A 23,824-nucleotide genomic window follows, 5' to 3' on the forward strand; every position below is an offset into this window, starting at 1 on the left:
AAAGCTGTATTCAACAAAAAATAATAAAACAGCATGACCAAAGTGAGGTCTATTCAAGGAATGCAAAGATGCTATAACATTTGAAAATCAACCAATATAATGCAGCACATTAACAAAACAGAAAAGAGAAACTATATGATATATCTTCAAAATTCATTTTTGAAAAAACTCAGCAAGCTGAACAGAAGGGAACTTCTTTAACCTGATAAAGGGCTTCTCTGAAAAATCCTATAGCTAACACAGTTACTGAAGGATGAAAGACTGAACAATTAAACAAAACTTACATTTCAAAATGAGCCATTTAAAATAAGATATTTAAAAATACTAAAATATGTGAAAGAATGACATAAATCAAAATCAGAAAAACTGAGAAATGAGCTGACAGAAATCAAATAATTTGAAATAAAACAAAAATAATTTCAGACATAAAAAACTAGAAGGAATATGAGGAAATGAACACAACAATAATGCCTTAAGAGCTATAAAAGGTGAAGAGAAGAAACTTTTAGAAATAAAAAAAGAAATAAAAGTATTCAAGAGAAAGTGATACGTTTATAACGTATCAAAACTTGTAACACTTTTAATAGCAACCCTTTTGGACAGAAGTAAAACAAGTACTCAAAGCAAAAAATAAAAGAGACAGCCGGGTGTGGTGGCTCACACCTGTAATCCCAGCACTTGGGAGGCAGAGGCGGGCAGATCACCTGAGGTCAGGAGTTCGAGACCAGCCTGGCCAACATGGTGACACCCCGTCTCTACTAAAAATACAAAAATTAGCTGGGCGTGGTGGCAGGCGCCTGTAATCCCAGCTACACGGGAGGCTGAGGCAAGAGAATCTCTTGAACCCAGGAGTTGGAGGTTGCAGTGAGCCAAGACTGCACCATTGCACTCCAGCCTGGGCAACAAGAGCGAAACTCCGTCTCAAAAAAAAAAAAAAAAAAGAAGAAAAGAAAGAAAAAGTAAAAATAAAAGAGACAAGAATTTTACATAGAGCCAACTTCACTTTCAAGTAAAAGGCGACAAAACAAACTGTGACAAACACATCAGAATTGAAGGAATTCTCTTGTAGAACAAGACTAAAATAACCAAGATAACTAGGAGATAACAACATAAAGACTGGTGATAAATAAATGCATATTTACTCACATAAAAACATGAAATAAGGTTGATAAGGCAGAAAGTACAGTATGCAATACTCTATGTTCTGACAATATAGATACAGAATTAGTTAAAAAAAATGGGTGAAGAGAATGAAAGAAGGATATGCAAAAAAGTCTTTATTTCTCATAATCATGTGCGTGGTGCAGTATAGCAATTCTCATGCATACACTTTGGGAGAAGGCAAATGGATATATGATATTCTATCATCCCCTGGCTTCTTGAGACCCAAGAGAAACAAAAAAAACAAATACAGGATAGAAAGAGTTAAGTAAAAACCCTATATTCTTGAATTTGATTTGGAAATACCCATCAGAACTTGTGAGCTAGTTTACCATAAATGCATGCACACACACACATGCACACACACATATTTTCATGGTAGATTTTTAAAGAAAAAGAGAGAGCCTGCAACCTATAATATTTCCTAGCTCTGCCCACTAATAAGGCCTAGAAACAATGACCTACTCAGTAGCAATGAGCATCCTTGGGTCCCAGACTGCAGTCTTAAAACACGATTTCCCCAATAAAGGCAAGAAGGGTGCCTTGCAGGAATGGCTTCCTCCAGGTTTTGGGCAGGAGTACACAAGAGAGACCTGGAAAAACTTGTCATACATGACACAAGTATGCTATCAGACCACCAGTGTCATGTCAGAGAACTTAGGAGAAACCTAAAGAGGCTCCCCTGGTCAACAAAGAAACAATCTGAGAATGAGTAAAGATATTAACTTCAATTAACTTGAAATACATCAAAAATGCTTAAATCCCTATGTTCCTAATGAAACCTAAACACACACATACACAGCCCAAAGAGCCCACATTTGGAAGATGACAGGGAATCAATTCATTATTTTTAAAACTTGCAAATAAAGAGGTAAATCAACATTTACTTTACTTCTCCTAAATGAACTTCAGATGACAGATTAGAACGTGACCACTTTGCAATCCCTAATGAATTAACAGATCCAGCATAAGGCACTGAAGGCTAGTACCATGAAGAGAGACATCATGTGCCTTTTAATGAAAGAACAATACTAAAGACTTGCAAAAGTGATCAAGCCTGAAGCAATCCAAGTTTCAGATCCAATTTCTAATATATCAAGCTATACCATGAGACAAAGAAACATGCTTAGCTACACCACAAGAACTCAAAAAGCAAAATCTGGACCATGAAATCCTCCACATGTTCTATGACTGTGGTTCTTCAACAAATAAATTTCATGAGGATAAAACCAGGCAGATATGCAGGAAACTTGTAGCTAAAAAGAGAAACTTAAGTGATGAAACTATAAAGGGATGCTGGAAAGTTACTATCACAGCAGTCAAGATAGTCATTATCGTTTTAGGGCAGTACAAGAGAGTGCTTTGGGACAGGTCACATGGAGGCTTCTACACTCATTTAGAAAGTTACAATTTTGATATAATGGTAGTTTAAGAATGTTTGCCACATAATACATAACACAGTCAGCCCTCCACATCCATGGGTTCCAGTTGCTGCAGATTCAACCAACAGCAGATAGAAAATATTTGAAATAATAATAATACAACAGTTTAAAAAGTACAAATGAAAAAACAATACAGTATACAACTATTTGCATAGTATTTATATTGCATTAGACGTTATAAGTAATCTAGAGATGATTTAAAGTATATAGGAAGATGTGCATAGATTATATGCAAATAACACACCATTTTATATAAGAAACTTGAACATCTGCAGATTTTAGTATCCACAGGGGTTGGGGGTGTCCTGGAATCAATCCCTGCAGACACGAAGGGGACATTGTACTCATCAGTATTAGCCAGCACTAAGTCAGCACACAAAACATTTGCTTTATGCAGTTTTATCTGTACTATATTTCAAAATAAAAAAAAGTTTTCATTAAAAGAGGTAGATGAGCACACTATTAGGAGTCCTCTACTCTGTAATGGTGAAATAGTTTGACAAAATGTTGGAAAGAAAGAGCATTTTTTCTGGGAGAGAAAGAGGAGGGATTACTATGAGGGAAAAAGGATATGGAAAGCAAAAATGTTAAAACATAAGGGCAATCCCAAAAGATTAAATCACTGCACCATACATGGAAAAGTGCTATATTTTGGCATTACCGTAGTTGGTATCATTTCTGATCAGTGTGGAGATGGGAGGTACAGGAGAATATTCTAGGTTCTGGCTTATAGATATCAGAAGTATAACTACAATGTAATAGAACTGACTTACTAAACCACCCTTCCAAACACATATCCAAAAGAGTGTCATTCCATGTAGTTCCCGTGAGGAGACTGCACACTTATTCTAATTATCTTGCCATCGCTCAAAGTAGTTTGGAACTACACTTTCTAAACTGCCTTCAGAAATAATTTAGTTATAGGTGCAAAATAATCAGTCTTATGACTTTACTGTCACACCATCGTTTGAGCAAGATCTGTATTACCCAGCCCAATCACACAAAATATTCACAAAATTTTGGTCATTTCCAAAAATCAAATCCACTCTTGAAAGGCAAGACATACTAAAGAATGTGCCATAGTCTGTGAAGGAAACTCAGAGGAGTTCCAAAAATGTTCTGGGCAATGGCAGTGTCACTGCAATGAGTATTTAACCTCCTCAAGTGACTTAGGAGAAAAGAAGTCAATTTTACCATAAAATGGGATATGATTAAAGTAAGTCTTATTACTTTATGATCATTTTTAAATATTTACTTGGGCACTGTCTTAAAAAGAAAAACTTCCTACTATAATATTTTTCAAGGATAAGATAAATAAAAAGCTTTGCTTGGGAAGAATTTTGTCATGTTGAGTGATAATCAGGAAAGGGCCTATTTATTCTCTTATACCTGTTTTAGACAGGAAAACATGCTATTTGGCAGTTTAAAAAAACCCAACTTTATGAACTAAACACTTACCCATGTCATTAACAAAGATGAAGAATAATAAGAAGATAAGTACATTGAATTTCCAAACATCAAAATGAAACTAAGGGTAACTGAAATCTGAAAAAAATGAAAAAAATACATTTTATGGTCATTACATATATTGGCATAATGCATATTTTGTAGGTATATAGCCATTTCTAATGCAAATTTATTTGCATAAAGATGAATGACCCTTGGCCAAATGATAATAGAACTTCAAGTCACTGCTAGATTCTAAGTATGAAAATTCAAGACCATAAACTCTATCTGGCAGAATTTAACTTTTTCTCCATCTGCTACTTGGAACAATGAAAAATAAGTCTATGATTTCTATTGTTTTAACAATGGAGTAATATAATAAGAAAGACTTAGTTATAAACACCAGTTTTACTAATCATATTTTTGTTAGACTTCAGGACTTCTATTATTTATGGAGCTTTACTAACTTTTTATGTTTCTAAGGAAGCTATGTTTGGGACCTAAGCCAAAAACAAAATCGCAAGAATATAAAATTTCAGTTAGAGTGTCATATTCAGGCAAAATGCTAAAAATCTCATGTCTGAGAAAGAAAAGGCAGTTTTAAAAGTAGTAATAATAATAAGTAAAACATAAAAATATAAGTTCTAGAGAATAAAACACATCTACAGTCCAGTTGAAAGAATAATCTGTTATAATATGTCATCTATAATATACATTTCCAGTTTTCCTTCTGGATATCACCAATACCATATGTATTAAATATTACCAAAGAGGAAGTACCCTATAAAACAGAATCACTTCGATTTTATAAACTCTGAGAACCTATCTTAATATTTGACTTATATATATTAAAAATGTTACCATGTTCATATAAATGATCTTCTGAAATTTGCTTGGTTCAATGTATCCCACAACATACATGGGAAATAATGATGCTATCTGAAATAATATAAAAAAGCAAAAGTGAAAAAAAGTATAGAAAATTAACACTTTACTATTCACAGGCAAAGTAAATATAAGAGGAGGGCTACAGTTCTAATAATGGTAAGCAAAGGAATTTGAACCAACCTTCCCACTAAGAACTAGAATGGCTAGGAAAAATATAAATATATAAATAAAAACATTTTTAAAATATGTATAAAAGCCACAGACTATTAACAAAGCAAATGAGGAATTAAAAAGATAGATGGCAATCTATACCAATGAGCATGACATTTTGGGCCACTTTTCTCCCAGAGGTATCTGCCAATTTCAACAGAGGCAGATGCCTGCCAGCTGAGAGGCAGTTGGAAGACCAACAAGCTGAGCAGGCATTTCAGCAGATTCAGCAGTCAGAGTGCACCAAGAAGGGTGCTTTAGTTTGGAGTTTCAAAAGGCCATACTGTAATAGTGAACCAGAAATCAAGCAGCCCTCAGAAAGACTGAAACGCATCTACGGATCATCTCAATCTGATTGCATAAAGGTGGTTCAAGATTTATTAGTGCTTTTTACTCGCCTCTCCAATTTTTCATATATAATGTCCAGCACCACATCAAAAATAACCCAGCATAGATGGAGATAAGACACTATCACTAACACAATAGAAATAGATCCACAAAAGATTTAGATCAGGGATCAGCACATTTATTATATAAAAGGCCAGATAATAAATATGTTATGCTTTGTTGGTCACATACAGTCTCTTGTATATTCTTTTTCTATTTTTGTTCTATAACCCTCTAAATATATAAAAACTATTCTTAGCTTGGAGATCACTCAAACACTTCTCTGGCATAATCAGATATATCTTCAAACTATGCTTCAAATGTTCAAGGAAATAACTGATAAGATTGAAAATTCCAGGAGAGCACAGAAGTCATAAAAAAAAAAAATTGGGCCAGGCATGGTGGCTCACGCCTATAATCCCAGCATTTTGGGAGGCCAAGATAGGAGGACGGCTTGAGCCCAGGAGTTCAAGAGCAGCCTGGGCAAGATGGTGATACCTCATCCCTACAAAAAATTAAAAAATTAACCAGATGTGGTTGCACAATGAACTAATTTTAACCTTAATCTACGAAAAACACAATTAAGAATAAAATCTTAAAGTACTCCCAGAAAATAACATTGAATTATCCCTCTGTAAGCATGAAACACACACATACAAAAAAAACTATACACATTAGTAAAGAAAAATAAAAGCCTAGTATATATCCAGAGAATGACTAGGAAATCATTAACAGCAATATCAAACTTACCCAATAACTTCTTTTTTTTTTTTTTTAAACTGAGTCTCACTCTGTCACCCAGGCTGGAGTGCAGTAGCGTGATCTCGGCTCACTGCAACCTCCACCTCCTGGGTTCAAGCAATTCTCTGCCTCAGCCTCCCAAGATTACAGGAGCCCACCACCATGCTCGGCTAATTTTTTTGTATTTTTAGTAGAGATGGGGTTTCACCATCTTGGCCAGGCTGGTCTTGAACTCCTGACCTCAAGTGATCCACCCGCCTCAGCCTCCCAAAGTTCTGGGATTACAGGCGTGAGCCATCGCGCCCGGCCCCAAAGAGCTTCTTAGTTTCATCAGTATCACTGGATTAATAAATTTGCTTGCAATGAAATGATGGTCATTAAAAATCTATTCCACTCTGTTGGCATGTGCAAATAATGAAAAACATAGAATAATGTCTGTGTTATAACCTGAAAGGGGCCAACTATTATGAAGTAAAACAGAGGGAATACTTTAAATATGCAGCACCAATTGAGCTGGGGTTATAATTTCATTCTTTGTAGGCTATTGGCAGCATGAGACTTCTTGGCAGAATTTCTCACTTCCAATATAGAATATTATTATTATCATCAGCATTTGTTATGTAGGAAGGAGCTCTGATGGAAAATCTTAGTATCATGAAATGTCATCAAAATTCTCCATTTACTCTCTGCTTCCCCAGTTCAGTTTCTTGTTACTAGTTATGTAGTTGCTTTAGAAACAGGATATGGGCTCAGCTCACTTAAGCAATGATGAGCTTTATGATTAAAGCTCGCAGAAACGGTGCCAGGTAAAATTCTGCTCCACAGATAAAACAGCCAACGTTTAGCTGGATTAGAAGCAGAACGTCCTGCTGTCAAGAGTAGGATTGGCCCTTAGCATGCTGTGTAGCTTGGCACCCAGAAGGATTCCCAGGACAAAAGGAAAATCTCTAGGTAGATATATACAGATATTATCTCAAACACCAAAAATAACATTTGTGAATAAAAATAATAGAAAAACTCTTTCACATGTTGAGCCTTAAAATCTGTCAAACTAATCAATATAGTAAAAGAATGTGGAATTATATTATTTCATAAAAATCATACCTTTAAGTAAACTTTATTTCCTATTTTGAAAATCTTTTAGGGCGTAAATGTAACCATATTTAAAAATTTCTATGGAAACAACCAAGTACATCTTGCATTCAATTTAATTAATATATGCAAAGGAATATAAATCCTTCTATTACAAAGACATGTGCACCCATGTCTTCGCTGCAGCACTATTCACAATAGCAAAGACATGGAATTAACCCAAACGCCCATCAGTGAAAGACTGGATAAAGAAAATGTGGCACATATACACCATGGAATACTACGTAGCCATAAAAAGGAACAAGATCAGGTCCTTTGCAGGGACATGAATGGAGCTGGAGGCCATTATCCTCAGCAACAGGAACAGAAAACCAAACACCACATGTTCTCACTTATAAGTGGGAGCTGAACAATGAGAATACATGGACACAGGGAGAGGAACAACACACACTGGGGCCTGTCAAGGGATGGGGTGGGGAAAACATTAGGAAAAACAGCTAATGCATGCTGGGCTTAATACCTAGGTGATGGGTTGATAGATGCAAAAACCACCATGGCATACATTTACCTACGTAACAAACCTGTACATCCCGCACATGTACCCCAGAACTTAAAATAAAAATAAAAATTAATTTAAAAAATCATCTTACCTGTGTAAAAAGTATAAACTGAGCAAATTGCCAGGGAAGCATAAAAGCAACATTGGAAAGACAGAGTGCAATGAAGGGCCTTCTATCATTGCTTGAGGTCCTTAATAGAGAGAATTGATACCAGTAAGTTTCACCCTAAAAATGGGCTGTCGCTGAAAAGAAAGACTAATAGCAAAATGATAAAATCTACATTATTCCATTACCTTTACTATAATACAACAAAATATAGTTAACTTTGTAAAGTATACTAAAAAGAACTTGAAATACTTCATTCCTTGCATGAAGCAATCAAAATTAGAGTTTTAAAATTAACATTGTAATTTACCATTAAATATTTTAAATACAAAAGCTCTTTTTCCTCTACATATGCATGACATTAGAAATTTATTACTCCAGCAAGGAGGTCAGAAAATAGGATGTGGTGCTGTCCCTGCACACCTCAACATGCTTCTCCTGTATGTGTAGCAACAACTTTTATATACCACCACTTTTGTGCTTCAAAAAACATTGAAGAGAAATGTAAGTGCTGACAAAGTAATAAGTTAAAAACTATGGGAAAAATTTAAGGAAAAGGAATCTTAAAAAATTAAAAAATCATTCTAGAATTCAGCTGAAGCATGTGGAAGTTTAAATTGTCCATTCTGCATTACTGAGATGTATTGGGAACCAATACCTTTTACCACAGAGAATTACAGTAACTTTTAGATATGAAAAAAGAAACACAAACATTTTACATAAATAATAAAACTGTAACTCTTCCTTTTATAAATTCTGTACTGGATTTTGATGAATCTTTGTACAATCATATATAAATTTTCAAAAACAAAATTCTAAATGTTCATATTGCTTACTAATCTTATCATAAAATACTCATTATGTACTTTGTAATCTTATATTTTTCAAACAAAAATTACTTTTGACTAAGACACAGAGTATAGCACATGCCCTCAATGATACAACCCTAAATATTCTAATTAAGACATTTTATTCCATGAAACCCCTGACTGACCAGACTGATATCACTTCAAAAAAATAAAAATAACCCACCTTTCTAGGAATTAAACTGGGAATGAGTAGCAAGGGGTGATGAAGAATGGGCAGCTTCCATCACCTAATCTTTGAGAGAAGGCAAAGTGTAGAGCAAAGATATAGAAATCTCAGTGAGGAGGAGGTTCCTAAATCCAAATTCAACCCCAGAATATACTTGTCAGGTTGGTAAGAAATCAGAAGTTGGCCTGCTCCATTCTCAAGGTTTGTGCCACCCCAGTACACTACTATTTACCACCCTTCAATTAGCTTTATCTGAGTGCCACAAATATTTGCATGGACGTGTGCAGTGTTCTGTGGTTAAAGAGATAAATATGGCATGGTCCCTGTTTAAAAGTACAGTGGTACTTTTAAATACATGTAATTGGCCAGGCACAGTGGCTCACACCTGTAATCCCAGCACTTAGGGAGGCTGAAGCGGGTGGATCACTTGAGGTCAGGAGTTCGAGACCAGCCTGGCCAACATGGTAAAACCCTGCCTCTACTAAAAATACAAAAATTAGCTGGGGATGGTGGCGTGCACCTATAATCCCAGCTACTTGGGAGGCTGAGGCAGGAGAATCGCTTGAACCTGGGAAGCAGAGGTTGCAGTGAGCAGATCGTGCCACTGCACTCCAGCCTGGGTGACAGAGCAAGACCTCATCTCTAAATAAATAAATAAAAATTTGTGTATTGTGGAAGATTCATAAATTTACTGTTTTAAAAAACAAGGAAGACAAACAAATGATTTTTATAGAAGGCAGAATCTCCCAGGGACTAGTAGGTGAAGAATGGGGTCCTCTGGGAGTTTGGAGGAGATAGTGATCATTATTTCATTCAGTGAGAGTTCTCATTAGTATTCTATCAAACTTATTTCTCTGATAAGGTTATTTATACTATTCTACCACTTATGGGGTTTTTTGTTCATTTCTCAGACCTCTTAAATATCTAAAATGCTTATAAATGTAATCCCTACAAAAAAAGTGTATCCAAAAAAAAAAGTTTGAAATGAAACTGGTTGTCCTGTTAGAAACATTGGTTGTTCAGAAATGCTTCATAAATATGTGAATATATATACTCCTTATCCATCTAACTCTGCATTTCCCAAATTCATTTGCACACAGAACACTTTTTTCATGGCAGTTATCAAAACCACAGGTTAGAAAACAATGTCAGAGAACTTAAACTGTGAAGAGAAAATGTAATTGTTTCTCAAAAACTTTTGAATCTTGGCAAACTATATACAAACACATACCTTTTGGTTTATTAAAACATAATGTAGTTATCTAAAACCTGTAGCCTACACTCTTAAACGGAGAGCAATTTTTACATAGCAATTTTGAATTATTTTCTTAACCCTATACTCAATTTACTTTTAAAATAACTAAAAAATGGTCTAAATTTGGTAATTACAACTTCATAGATTGAAGTATATATATGTAATATATATATTTACATTTTTTTAGAGGGAGTCTTGCTCTCTTGCCCAGGCTGGAGTGCAGTGGCACAATCTCGGCTCACTGAAACCTCCGCCTCCCGAGTTCAAGCAATTCTCCTGCCTCAGCCTCCCAAGTAGCTGGGATGGCAGATGCACACCACCATGCCCGGCTAATTTTTGTATTTTAGTAGAGATGAGGTTTCACCATGTTGGCCAGGCTGGTCTCGAACTCCTGATCTCAAGCGATCCACCCACCTCGGCCTCCCAAAGTGCTGAATTGAAGTATATTTTAAGAAACTTAAATTATAATTTATTTGCCTTTGTTTTATAAATCGAAGTTACCTGAGAATCAAAGTTAAAACATACATCTGAAGTACAAGGAAAGGATAGGAAAAACTTTCACGGAGAGGTGGTGTCCACATCACACAGGTGGCCTGAAATCAACAAAATGCCCACTTTACATCCTGTTTACTACAACAAACATATTAAAAAACGAGGGGTGAGTTTGTTTTAGTAATTTTAATACTAGGCTCACTAGATCCCATTTCTGAGTGTCTGGCATAGCTTCTCAGTTTTTGAAGCTCTCTCAACTCATGAGACCATTATGTAGTGAGCAGTTAACTACCATGTCCAGAAACCAGCTACAGATATATCAGACCGAGCAAAAGGAAGCCCAAGGGACAAACAAGATTGTACGTATAAGAGTTGTGAGAATTCTGGGACTGACCAACTAGATCCACAGCCCAGCCCTGCAGTATGATCCTGGCATATGATCCTGGCATCCCAGGCTTTGAGATATATGCATGCCAAGACAAATAGCTAAACGAATGTCACCTAGGTCATTCGCAAGCACCAAGAGAGTTTCTACATAACAAGTATGAAAGAATATAAATACACACTTCGAATAGCTACGATTGCCTCAGAATTTGTAAAATGTACCTTAAAAAAGGTTAAGTACATATTTTAAAAACAACTAGAAGTATTTGGGAACTACAAATGTGATGCATGTAATGAAAGTATTAAATTTTCAAACAAACTTTAAAATTACTTCTAAGACATATGGGTCAGAGTATTAGAAAAATTTTCCATCAAAAATTCTGAAATTCTAGAAAGAATGTGAACTCTTATTACTTTGCAAGAGTCTTAAAAGTTATTGCTTCTCTTCCAAGATACCAAAATTGTAAATGTTGGAAGAGGAATTATGATACATATAAGAAAGTCAACTTATACCAACAGTTGTCTGGAACACTCAGAGAAAAACCTTTGTCTTTAGGTCAGCACATTGTTGAATGACAATGCATTTGTTTGCTTTAAAATAATATATATAAGGCTTTTATGTATAATTTTTATGATTCCTTTATCTAACTGATTTTTAAAAATTAACCCAAGAGCAATGGATAAAAGTACTTCTGCCCTGGCTGGGCGTGGTGGCTCACGCCTGTAATCCCCAGTACTTTGGGAGGCCGAGGCGGGTGGATCATGAGGTCAGGAGTTCGAGACCAGCCTGGCCAACATGGTGAAACTCCATCTCTACTAAAAATACAAAAATTTAGCTGAGCATGGTGGCACATGCCTGTAATGCCAGCTACTCAGGAGGCTGAGGCAGGAGAATTGCTTGAACCTGGGAGACGGAGGTTGCAGAGAGCTGAGATCGCGCCACTGCACTCCAGCCTGGGTGACAGAGCAAGACTCCATCTTGAAAAAAAAAAAAATACTTCTACCCTATGTAACCTGTGTCATAACATATTAAATGTTTTGCTCCCAAGAGCTAGTAGTCAGAATCTCTCTCTTTTTCATTGCCATATCCTCAGCATTTAGCAGAGCATGGACGTGGTATGTACTCAATAATTTGTTGAATGAATCCATCGTATTTGAAATAAGCTTCTATGAGCTCTTTTTTAGGTGGACTATGTTTCACTGGGCTGAATTAGTAAGTTAATGTCTATTTTGAATTCAGCATTTTGCATTACTGAACAGACAGCATGATGTAACAGAAAGAAGTGAGGGAGCAGGTGGCAGTGTCTTAACTGTGTCCCTGCTGTCAGGCCTGAGGCCTCTTTCATTGTTGTTAAGGGGAGAGCAATGCATACAAAGTTTCAGTTAGGCAAGGTGAATAAGTTCTGGAGATCTGCTATACAACATTGTGTTAATACTATATTATACACTTAAAAATCTGTTAAGAGGGCAGATCATATGTTACTTACTCTGACCACAATAAAAAAGTTGAATATATATGTTATATATATATAATATATAAGTTTTTATAAAATATAACTATAATTTTATAATTTATAAAATATAAATTAATATATATGTGAGGTTTTAGAGGCAGACAGACATAGAATGGGAAATCCAGCTTCATCATGTAGTAAATGTGGAAAGTGGATAAGTAACTTAATTTTCTCTAAATTTAAATTTCATAACTTGTATGGCGAGGCTACCATCACCCACAAAAAAACTTTAGTGGGAATAAATCAGATAATGTGCATGATATGATTCAACTCAACAAGTACAATATTTCCTTTTCTCTACAGAATATATGCATATGTATATATTTACTAAAAATAAGGCAAGAGATTTCATGTTTGAAATTCTAGCTATTTAAACATTTCAATCAACATGATTAAAATATCAACTTATAACACAAGGGTCTTTAAAATATTGTGAAGTCATAAGTAGTATACAATTAAATATTCTTTTGATGAGTATATTTCCTTGTTCCTCTACAGCCTCTTCTATTTCTTAAAAATTGCTTTCTAGAGAACAAACCTCTCCATGGTTGAAAAAGAAGCACAGTACTGTAATAAGACCTCCCAGTTCAGTACCACTGTAAAAAAAAAAAAAAATAGAGTATACAATCAAAATTCATGTAAAATACAGTGAGTTTTTCACAAAATTACCTCAGAATTTAAAATCACAGTTTTCTATATTTAAAACATAATAGTACTAAACCATACCCATGTGGTTGAAGTTTAAATCCTGAATGTACAATTCTAAAAACTGTATGTATAAATTAATCTCAATTTTATAATTTATTATAGCTAAAATACTTTCTAAATAAAATACATAAGGTGTGAACATAATTTTTTTTTTTGAGATGGGGTCTTGCTCTGTTGCCCAGGCTGGAGTGCAGTGGCAAAATCTCGGCTCACAGCAACCTCCGCCTCCTGGGTTCCAACGATTCTCCTGCCTCAGGCTCCCGAGTAGCTCAGATTACAGGCGCATGCTGCCACGCCCGGCTAATTTTTTTACTTTTAGCAGAGACAGGGTTTCACCATGTTGGCTAAGCTAGTCTCGAACTCCTGACCTCGTGATCCACCCGCCTCGGCCTCCCAAAGTGCTGAGATTACAGGTGTGAGCCACCGCACCCGGCCACATAAAATCATTTTTAAGAAACAGGCTAGCACTTTAGAGTCTAGATCACATCCTTTGAACACTCTGAACAAAAGCAAATTTTTATCTTTTGAAATTGGATTTAAGGGACTGAGAGATGAAGACAACATTCTAACAGTTTCATGTAGCATTAACTTAGAACTATCTAAACTACTGCAAATATTCTTTACTTGAGTCCCAGAGAAGCAATAATGCAGAATACAAAAATCAGATGAAAGATAAAAACCATTTCTTTTGTTGTTGTTGTTGTTGTTTTGTTTTGTTTTGAGACAGAGTCTCACTCTGTCACCCAGGCTGGAGTGCAGTGGCGCGATCTCGGTTCACTGCAACCTCCGCCTCCCTGGTTCAAGCTGATTCTTCTGTCTCAGCCTCCCGAGTAGCTGGGATTACAGGCACATGCCACCATACCTGGCTGATTTTTGTATTTTTAGTAGAGACGGTGTTTCGCCATGTTGGCCAGGCTGGTCTCAAACTCCTGACTTCAAGTGATCCAGCCGCCTCAGCCTCCCAAAGTGCTGGGATTACAGGCGTGAGCCACCGCACCCGGCCAAAAACCATTTCTTAAATTGCCTTTTTGTGATCATGTCTGTGTATAAGAATGCAGATGCTCAATCCCACATCTGTATAGTGTTTCTATGCTTCCATTTATCTTTTCTCCATACACCACTTCCCTAGTCTAACACATTCTAAGCACCATGAGGACAGGGACAGGTTCTTTATCTGTCTTGTTCATTGCTATATCCCCAGCTTCACACTTGGAAGATTAATAAATATTGGTTGAATTAATGAAGAAAGAAAGGAAGAAAACAGCAGAGGAAGGCTCATGGGAAATGATTTACCATTTAATAAAGCTTCACACAGAAAATACAAAGGATGAACTTCAAAGAGGAAGAAATTGAAAGAAAGAATGTGTGAGCAGCAAGGACCAATTGTACATGGAGGAACTGAGGAAATGTGGATAAATCAAAGTAAGATGAGTTGGCGGGGGGTGGAGCCAAGATGGCCGAATGGGAACAGCTCCAGTCTACAGCTCCCAGCATGAGCGATGCAGAAGACGGGTGATTTCTGCATTTCCAACTGAGGTACTGTGTTCATCTCACTGGGGATTGTCGGAAAGTGGGTGCAGGACAGTGGGTGCAGTGCACCGAGCATGAGCTGAAGCAGGGCTAGGCATTGCCTCACCCGGGAAGCGCAAGGGATCAGGGAATTCCCTTTCCTAATCAAAGAAAGGGGTGACAGAAGGCACCTGGAAAATTGGGTCACTCCCACCCTAATACTGCGCTTTTCCAGTGGTCTTAGTAAATGGCACACCAGGAGATTATATCCCGCACCTGGCTCAGAGGGTCCTATGCCCACGGAGCCTCCCTCATTGCTAGCACAGCAGTCTGAGATCAAACTGCAAGGCGGCAGCCAGGATGGGGGAGGGGCGCCTGCCATTGCCAAGGCTTGAGTAGGTAAACAAAGCAGCCAGGAAGCTCGAACTGGGTGGAGCCTCCCGCAGCTCAAGGAGGCCTGCCTGCCTCTGTAGACTCCACCTCTGGGGGCAGGACATTGCCAAACAAAAGGCAGCAGAATCCTCTGCAGACTTAAATGTCTCTGTCTGACAGCTTTGAAGAGAGTAGCGGTTCTCCCAGTACGCAGCTGGAGATCTGAGAACAGACAGACTGCCTCCTCAAGTGGATCCCTGACCTCCGAGTAGCATAACTGGGAGGCACCCCCAGTAGGGGCAGACTGACACCTCACACAGCCGGGTACTCCTCTGAGACAAAACTTCCAGAGGAATGATCAGGCAGCAACACTTGCTGTTCACCAATATCCACTGTTCTGCAGCATCCACTGCTGATACCCACGCAAACAGGGTCTGGAGTGGACCTCCAGCAAACTCCAACAGACCTGCAGCTGAGGGTCCTGACTGTTAGAAGGAAAACTAACAAACAGAAAGGACATCCACACCAAAACCCCATCTGTACGTCACCATCATCAAAGACCAAAGGTAAATAAAACCACAAAGATGGGGAAAAAAACAGAGCAGAAAAACTGAAAACCCTAAAAATCAGAGTGCCTCTCCTCCTCCAAAGGAACGCTGCTCCTCACCAGCAACGGAACAAAGCTGGATGGAGAATGACTTTGACGAGTTGAGAGAAGAAGGCTTCAGATGATCGAACTACTCTGAGCTAAAGGGAGTTTGAACCCATGGCAAAGAAGTTAAAAACCTTGAAAAAAAAATTAGACGAATGGCTAACTAGAATAACCAATGCAGAGGAGTCCTTAAAGGACCTGATGGAGCTGAAAACCAAGGCACGAGAACTACATGACGAATGCACAAGCCTCAGTAGCCAATTCGATCAACTGGAAGAAAGGGTATCAGTGATGGACAATCAAATGAATGAAATGAAGCGAGAAGAGAAGTTTAGAGAAAAAACAATAAAAAGAAACGAACAAAGCCTCCAAGAAATATGGGACTATGTGAAAAGACCAAATCTACATCTGATTGGTGTACCTGAAAGTGACAGGGAGAATGGAACCAAGTTGGAAAACACTCTGCAGGATATTATCCAGGAGAACTTCCCCAGTCTAGCAAGGCAGGCCAACACTCAAATTCAGGAAATACAGAGAATGCCACAAAGATACTCCTCGAGAAGAGCAACTCCAAGACACAGAATTGTCAGATTCACCAAAATGGAAATGCAGGAAAAATTGTTAAGGGCAGCCAGAGAGAAAGGTCAGGTTACCCACAAAGGGAAGCCCATGAGACTAACAGCGGATCTCTCAGCAGAAACTCTACAAGCCAGAAGTGAATGCGGGCCAATATTCAACATTCTTAAAGAAAAGAATTTTCAACCCAGAATTTCATATCCAGCCAAACTAAGCTTCGTAAGTGAAGGAGAAATAAAATCCTTTACAGACAAGCAAATGCTGAGAGATTTTGTCACCACCAGGCCTGCCCTAAAAGAGCTCCTGAAGGAAGCACTAAATATGGAAAGGAACAACTGGTACCAGCCACTGCAAAAACAAGCCAAATTGTAAAGAACATCAAGGCTAGGAAGAAACTGCATCAAGTAACGAGCAAAATAACCAGCTAACATCATAACGACAGGATCAAATTCACACATAACAATATTAACCTTAAATGTAAATGGGCTAAATGCTCCAATTAAAAGACACAGACTGGCAAATTGGATCAAGAGTCAAGACCCATCAGTGTGCTGTATTCAGGAAGCCCATCTCACACGCAGAGACACACACAGGCTCAAAATAAAGGGATGGAGGAAGGTCTACCAAGCAAATGGAAAACAAAAAAAGGCAGGGGTTGCAATCCTAGTCTCTGATAAAAGAGACTTTAAACCAACAAAGATCAAAAGAGACAAAGAAGGTAATTACATAATGGTAAAGGGATCAATTCAACAAGAAGAGCTAACTATCCTAAATATATATGCACCCAATACAGGAGCACCCAGATTCATAAAGCAAGTCCTGAGTGACCTACAAAGATACTTAGACTCCCACACAATAATAATGGGAGACTTTAACACCCCACTGTCAACATTAGACAGATCAACGAGACAGAAAGTCAACAAGGATACCAAGGAATTGAACTCAGCTCTGCACCAAGCAGACCTAATAGACATCTACAGAACTCTCCATCCGAAATCAACAGAATATAGATTCTTCTCAGCACCACGCCGCACTTATTCCAAAATTGACCACATAGTTGGAAGTAAAGCACTCCTCAGCAAATGTAAAAGAACAGAAATTATAACAAACTGTCTCTCAGACGGCAGCACAATCAAACTAGAACTCAGGATTAATAAACTCACTCAAAACTGCTCAACTACATGGAAACTGAATAACCTGATCCTGAGTGACTACTGGGTACATAATGAAATGAAGGCAGAAATAAAGATGTTCTTTGAAACCAATGAGAACAAAGACACAACATACTAGAATCTCTGGGACACATTCAAAGCAGTGTGTAGAGGGAAATTTATAGCACTAAATGCCCACAAGAGAAAGCAGGACAGATCTAAAATTGACACCCTAACATCACAATTAAAAGAACTAGAGAAGCAAGAGCAAACACATTCAAAAGCTAGCAGAAAGCAAGAAATAACTAATATCAGAGCAGAACTGAAGGAGATAGAGACACAAAAACCCTTCAAAAAATCAATGAATCCAGGAGCTGGTTTTTTGGAAAGATCAACAAAATTGATAGACCGCTAGCATGACTAATAAAGAAGAAAAGAGAGACGAATCAAATAGATGCAATAAAAAATGATAAAGGGGATATCACCACCGATCCCTCAGAAATACAAACTACCATCAGAGAATACTATAAACACCTCTATGCAAATAAACTAGAAAATCTAGAAGAAATGGATAAATTCCTGGAAATATACACCCTCCCAAGACTAAACCAGGAAGAAGTTGAATCTCTGAATAGACCAATAACAGGCTCTGAAATTGAGGCAATAATTAATAGCCTATCAACCAAAAAAAGTCCAGGACCAGACAGATTCACAGCCCAATTCTACCAGAGGTAAATGGAGGAGCTGGTACCATTGCTTAGGAAACTATTCCAATCAATAGAAAAAGAGGGAATCCTCCCTAACTCATTTTATGAGGCCAGCATCATCCTGATACCAAAGTCTGGCAGAGACACAATAAAAAAAAGAGAATTTTAGACCAATATCCCTGATGAACATTGATGCAAAAATCCTCAATAAAATACTGGCAAACCGAATCCAGCAGCACATCAAAAAGCTTATCCACCATGATCAAGTGGGCTTCATCCCTGGGATGCAAGGCTGGTTCATCATACGCAAATCAATAAAGGTAATCCATCATATAAACAGAACCAAAGACAAAAACCACATGATTATCTCAATAGGTGCAGAAAAGGCCTTCGACAAAATTCCACAGCCCTTCATGCTAAACACTCTCAATAAACTAGGTATTGATGGGATGTATCTCAAAATAATAAGAGCTATTTATGACAAACCCACAGCCAATATCATACTGAATGGGCAAAAACTGGAAGCATTCCCTTTGAAAACCAGCACAAGACAGGGATGCCCTCTCTCACCACTCCTCTTCAACATAGTGTTGGAAGTTCTGGCCAGGGCAATCAGGCAAGAGAAAGAAATAAAATGTATTCAATTAGGAAAAGAGGAAGTCAAATTGTCCCTGTTTGCAGATGAGATGATTGTATATTTAGAAAACCCTATCATCTCAGCCCAAAATCTCCTTAAGCTGATAGGCAACTTCAGCAGTCTCAGGATACAAAATCAATGTGCAAAAATCACAACCATTCCTATACACCACTAACAGACAAACAGAGAGCCAAATCATGAGTGAACTCCCATTCACAATTGTTTCAAAGAGAATACCTACGAATCCAACGTACAAGGGAAGTGAAGGACCTCTTCAAGGAGAACTACAAACCACTGCTCAATGAAATAAAAGAGGACACAAACAAATGGAAGAGCATACCATGCTCCTGGATAGGAAGGATCAATATCGTGAAAATTGCCATACTGCCCAAGGTAATTTATAGATTCAATGCCATCCCCAGCAAGCTACCAATGACTTTCTTCACAGAATTGGAAAAAACTACTTTAAAATTCATATGGAACCAAAAAAGAGCCCGCATTGCCAAGACAATCCTAAGCAAAAAGAACAAAGCTGGAGACATCACACTACCTGACTTCAAACTATACTACAAGGCTACAGTAACCAAAACAGCATGGTACTGGTACCAAAACTGAGATATAGACCAATGGAACAGAACAGAGCCCTAAGACATAATACCACACATCTACAACCATCTGATCTTTGACAAACCTGAGAAAAACAAGCAATGGGGAAAGGATTCCCTATTTAACAAATGGTGCTGGGAAAACTGGCTAGCCATATGTAGAAAGCTGAAACTGAATCCCTTCCTTACACCTTTTACAAAAATTAATTCAAGATGGATTAAAAACTTAAATGTTAGACCTAAAACCATAACAACCCTAGAAGAAAACCTAGGCAATACCATTGAGGACATAGGCATGGGCAAGGACTTCATGACTAAAACACCAAAAGCAATGGCAACAAAAGCCAAAATTGACAAATGGGATCTAATTAAACTAAAGAGCTTCTGCACAGCAAAAGAAACTACCATCAGAGTGAACAGGCAACCTACAGAATGGGGGAAGATTTTTACAATCTACTTATCTGACAAAGGGCTAATATCCAGAATCTGCAAAGAACTTAGACAAATTTATAAGAAAAAAATCAAACAACTCCATCAAAAAGTAGACGAAGGATATGAACAGACACTTCTCAAAAGAAGACATTTATGCAGCCAACAGACACATGAAAAAATGCTCACATCACTGGCCATCAGAGAACTGCAAATCAAAACCACAATGAGATACCATTTCACACCAGTTAGAATGGCAATCATTAAAAAGTCAGGAAACAACAGGTGCTGGAGAGGATGTGGAGAAATAGGAACACTTTTACACTGTTGGTGGGACTGTAAAGTAGTTCAACCACTGTGGAAGACAGTGTGGCAATTCCTCAAAGATCTAGAACTAGAAATACCATTTGACCCAGCCATCCCGTTACTGGGTATATACCCAAAGGATTATAAATCATGCTGCTATAAAGACACATGCACACATATGATTATTGTGGCACTATTCACAATAGCAAAGACTTGAAACCACCCCAAATGTCCATCAATGATAGACTGGATTAAGAAAATGTGGCACATATACACCATGGAATACTATGCAGCCATAAAAAATGATGAGTTCACATCCTTTGTAGGGACATGGATGAAGCTGGAAACCATCATTCTGAGCAAACTGTCACAAGGACAGAAAACCAAACACCGCATGTTCTCACTCATAGGTGGGAATTGAACAATGAGAACACTTGGACACAGTTTGGGGAACATCACACACCGGGGCCTGTCATGGGGTGGGGGGAGGGAGGAGGGATAGCATTAGGAGATATACCTAATGTAAATGACAAGTTATTGGGTGCAGCACACCAACATGGCACAAGTATACATATGTAACAAACCTGAACGTTGTGCACATGTACCCTAGAACTTAAAAGTATAATAATAATTAAAAAAAAGAGAGGATGTTTTGAAGAAAAGCATTCCAAGATTCCTTGTTTGATTGGAAAAACGGGAAAGATATCAATGTATTTTATACTTGAACAAATCATATCTGTATGTTAAAATTTTATGGTTAGTCACCAAAAGAATGGAAGTAGAATATCTACCTTCCCAGTTAGTGTCAGTGGGGAGGGTAGCCATGGTAACAAATACAAAAGTTTTCCCCAAATTTCTATTTCTTTTGTTCCTCAAATGCCAGTTTCCAATCTCCTCACAGTTTTGATGACACCTCTACAGTCAATATTGGTTGACTCTGTATATCCTTCTTAAAGACTAGATAGAGCCTAATATTGTATTTTATATTCCAGGACTATATAACCAATTTAGAGAGAATAGCACCTCTTCGGTAGCCCTCCTAATGAAATATACTGATTTTTAAAGTTTTAGTCATTGTTGTGTAACATTTTCCATACGAAAAAACAAAAAAGATAAATACAAACCATTTTCAAAAACAGAACTTATTTATTGATTTATTTATTTTTTTATTTTTAGTTTTGAGACTGAGCCTCGCTCTGTTGCCCAGGCTGGAGTGCAGTGGCGCGATGTCGGCTCACTGCAAGCTCCGCCTCCCGGGTTCACGCCATTCTCCTGCCTCAGCCTCCCGAGTAGCTGGGACTACAGGCGCCCGCCACCACGCCCAGCTAATTTTTTTTTTTTTTTTGGATTTTTTTGTATTTTTAGTAGAGACAGGGTTTCACCTTGTTAGCCAGGTTGGTCTCGATCTGACCTCATGATCAGCCCGCCTTGGCCTCCCAAAGTGCTGGGATTACAGGAGTGAGCCACTGCTCCCAGCCCCAAAACAGAACTTTTTTAAAAAAATAGAACATTTTTAAAGCTGCCCAAACAATCTCAAAGCAATCCTTTTCCCTCAAAATACTTCAATGAGCTTATATTTTTTCTATATGGCATATAGAAAAGTGCATAACATTTCTAGCTCATAGAACTATTGTAAAAGGAACGTCCATGTAGTCGCCATATAATTAACTGAAATAGAGAAATTATTATACTGAGTCTCCACTTGCCAGCCTCCAAGATAAGAATCAGCTACTGACCTGATTTTTGAGATTATCAACATAACCATTTCTATATACATATCAAACTATGATTTACTTTAATCTGTTTTTAAACAACATACAAATGGAAGTATGGAGTATTTTTTTAAATTTTGTACCTGGATTCATTCATTCAAAATTATATTTGTAAGATTCAACCATATTGTGTGTAGCTGTATAGTTCATTCATTCTCATTATTGTATACTGTTCCACCATGTTAATAAACCAAAATGTATTCATTTCTCTGTTAATGGATATTTGGGTTGTTTCCAGTTTGAAGCTATTGCAAATAATGCTACTATATTATTGTATGTACTTCCCAGTACACATGTGCAAGACTTTTTTGGGAATATATACTTTAAATTAGAATTACTGAGTTACAAGGTATCTATATCTTGAAGGTTATCAGATAATGTACACTGTTTACCAAAACAGTTGTACCAATTTATATGTCCACCTGCGGTGGATGAAAGCTCATTTATCAATCTATTAGATGTGAGTTGGTATTTCACTGTGGTTTGAATTTGTATTTTCTTGATGACTAATGATGGTGGTCAACTTTACATATGTTTATTGACCATTTGGAGTTCTTCTGGGAAATATCAGTTCATAAACAATTTGTCCATTTTTCTATCAGGTTGTCTTTCCTCTTTATCTTCCCACTCTAATATAAACTTCACGAGGACAGAGATTTCTGTTCTGTATTCCAAGCACCTAGAACAGTGCTCCTGGTCACAACAGTCTTTCAATAAATATTTATCAAATTAATGAATGAAATTTCTGGATAGTAGGTGGGGCATATACTTTGTAAATATCTTCACTCACTTTGCGGTTTATTTTTTATCCTACAGTTCTTTTGAGGAACTGAAGTTCTTTTCATCAAATTTATCAGTTTTTCTTCATGACTGGATTTTTGTATCTTGTTTATGAAATCATTTCTTATTCCAAGTGACTTTTTCTATATTATACGCTGAACACTTTATAAATTTGTCTTTCATATTTGAGTGTTTAATCCAACTTGGATTTATTACTTATATAGTTCCAATTTCTCCTTGTTCCATATGATCTCCCAATTATTCAAGCACTATTTATTAAAATGCCTGTCCTTACTCACCAATCTGCGATACCCACTCTTCCATATATCAAATGCCTTTAAATGTACATTTCTGCTCTGGGCTCTACTCTATTGCAGTTATCTATTTGTCTATTGCTATGCTAATATCATAGTGTCTTTTTACATTAGCTTTATAATACAGCAACAATTGATAGTGCAAATCCTCCTTTTTCAAGAATACCTTGACTGTATTTGGCCCTTTGCATTTCTGAATAACTTTTAAATCAGCTCATCAAAGTCAACAAAAAATACGTTGGAATTTTGACTGGTAGAGCATTGAATCTATAAAGCTTTTAAATATCAAGTCTTCAATCAGTGAATGTGGAATATCTCTCCACTTAGATTTTCCTAGACATATCTCAGGAATGTTTTAATCATTTGCCCATAGCTGTCATATGTATCTTTTGTTGGATTTATTCTGAGGAATATCATGCTTTTAATGCTATTCTAAATAGCATCCTTTCAAAATTTCATTTTCTATTTGATGCTAAAGTATAAAATTTATAATTTTGAATTTTAATATTAATGCTTACATCTAGTAACATTGTAAATTTTCTTATTATTGCAAATACTGTATCCATAAACTTTTAAAATTTTTCTAGATACATG

The 23,824-nt window shown here is 37.1% G+C and overlaps 1 pseudogene across 2 annotated transcripts in view; it reads right to left on the reverse strand.

Annotated features, from left to right (window-relative positions):
• DPY19L2P2 (DPY19L2 pseudogene 2) overlaps positions 1–23,824 on the reverse strand; it is a 105,454-nt pseudogene that overhangs the window by 54,726 nt on the left and 26,904 nt on the right. Inside the window, exons 7-12 of one of the 2 annotated variants that reach the window (NR_027768.1) lie at positions 13,251–13,308; positions 10,824–10,915; positions 9,065–9,133; positions 8,018–8,117; positions 4,911–4,988; positions 4,062–4,148 (exon numbers count right to left, since the gene is read on the reverse strand). The product of NR_027768.1 is annotated as a DPY19L2 pseudogene 2, transcript variant 1 (transcript). The remainder of the gene's footprint in view (positions 1–4,061; positions 4,149–4,910; positions 4,989–8,017; positions 8,118–9,064; positions 9,134–10,823; positions 10,916–13,250; positions 13,309–23,824) is intronic. The other variant, NR_003561.2, reaches the window with a different exon arrangement.

The sequence above is a fragment of the Homo sapiens genome, chromosome 7 (genome assembly GCF_000001405.40).
Source record: "Homo sapiens chromosome 7, GRCh38.p14 Primary Assembly".
Lineage (NCBI taxonomy): Eukaryota > Metazoa > Chordata > Mammalia > Primates > Hominidae > Homo > Homo sapiens.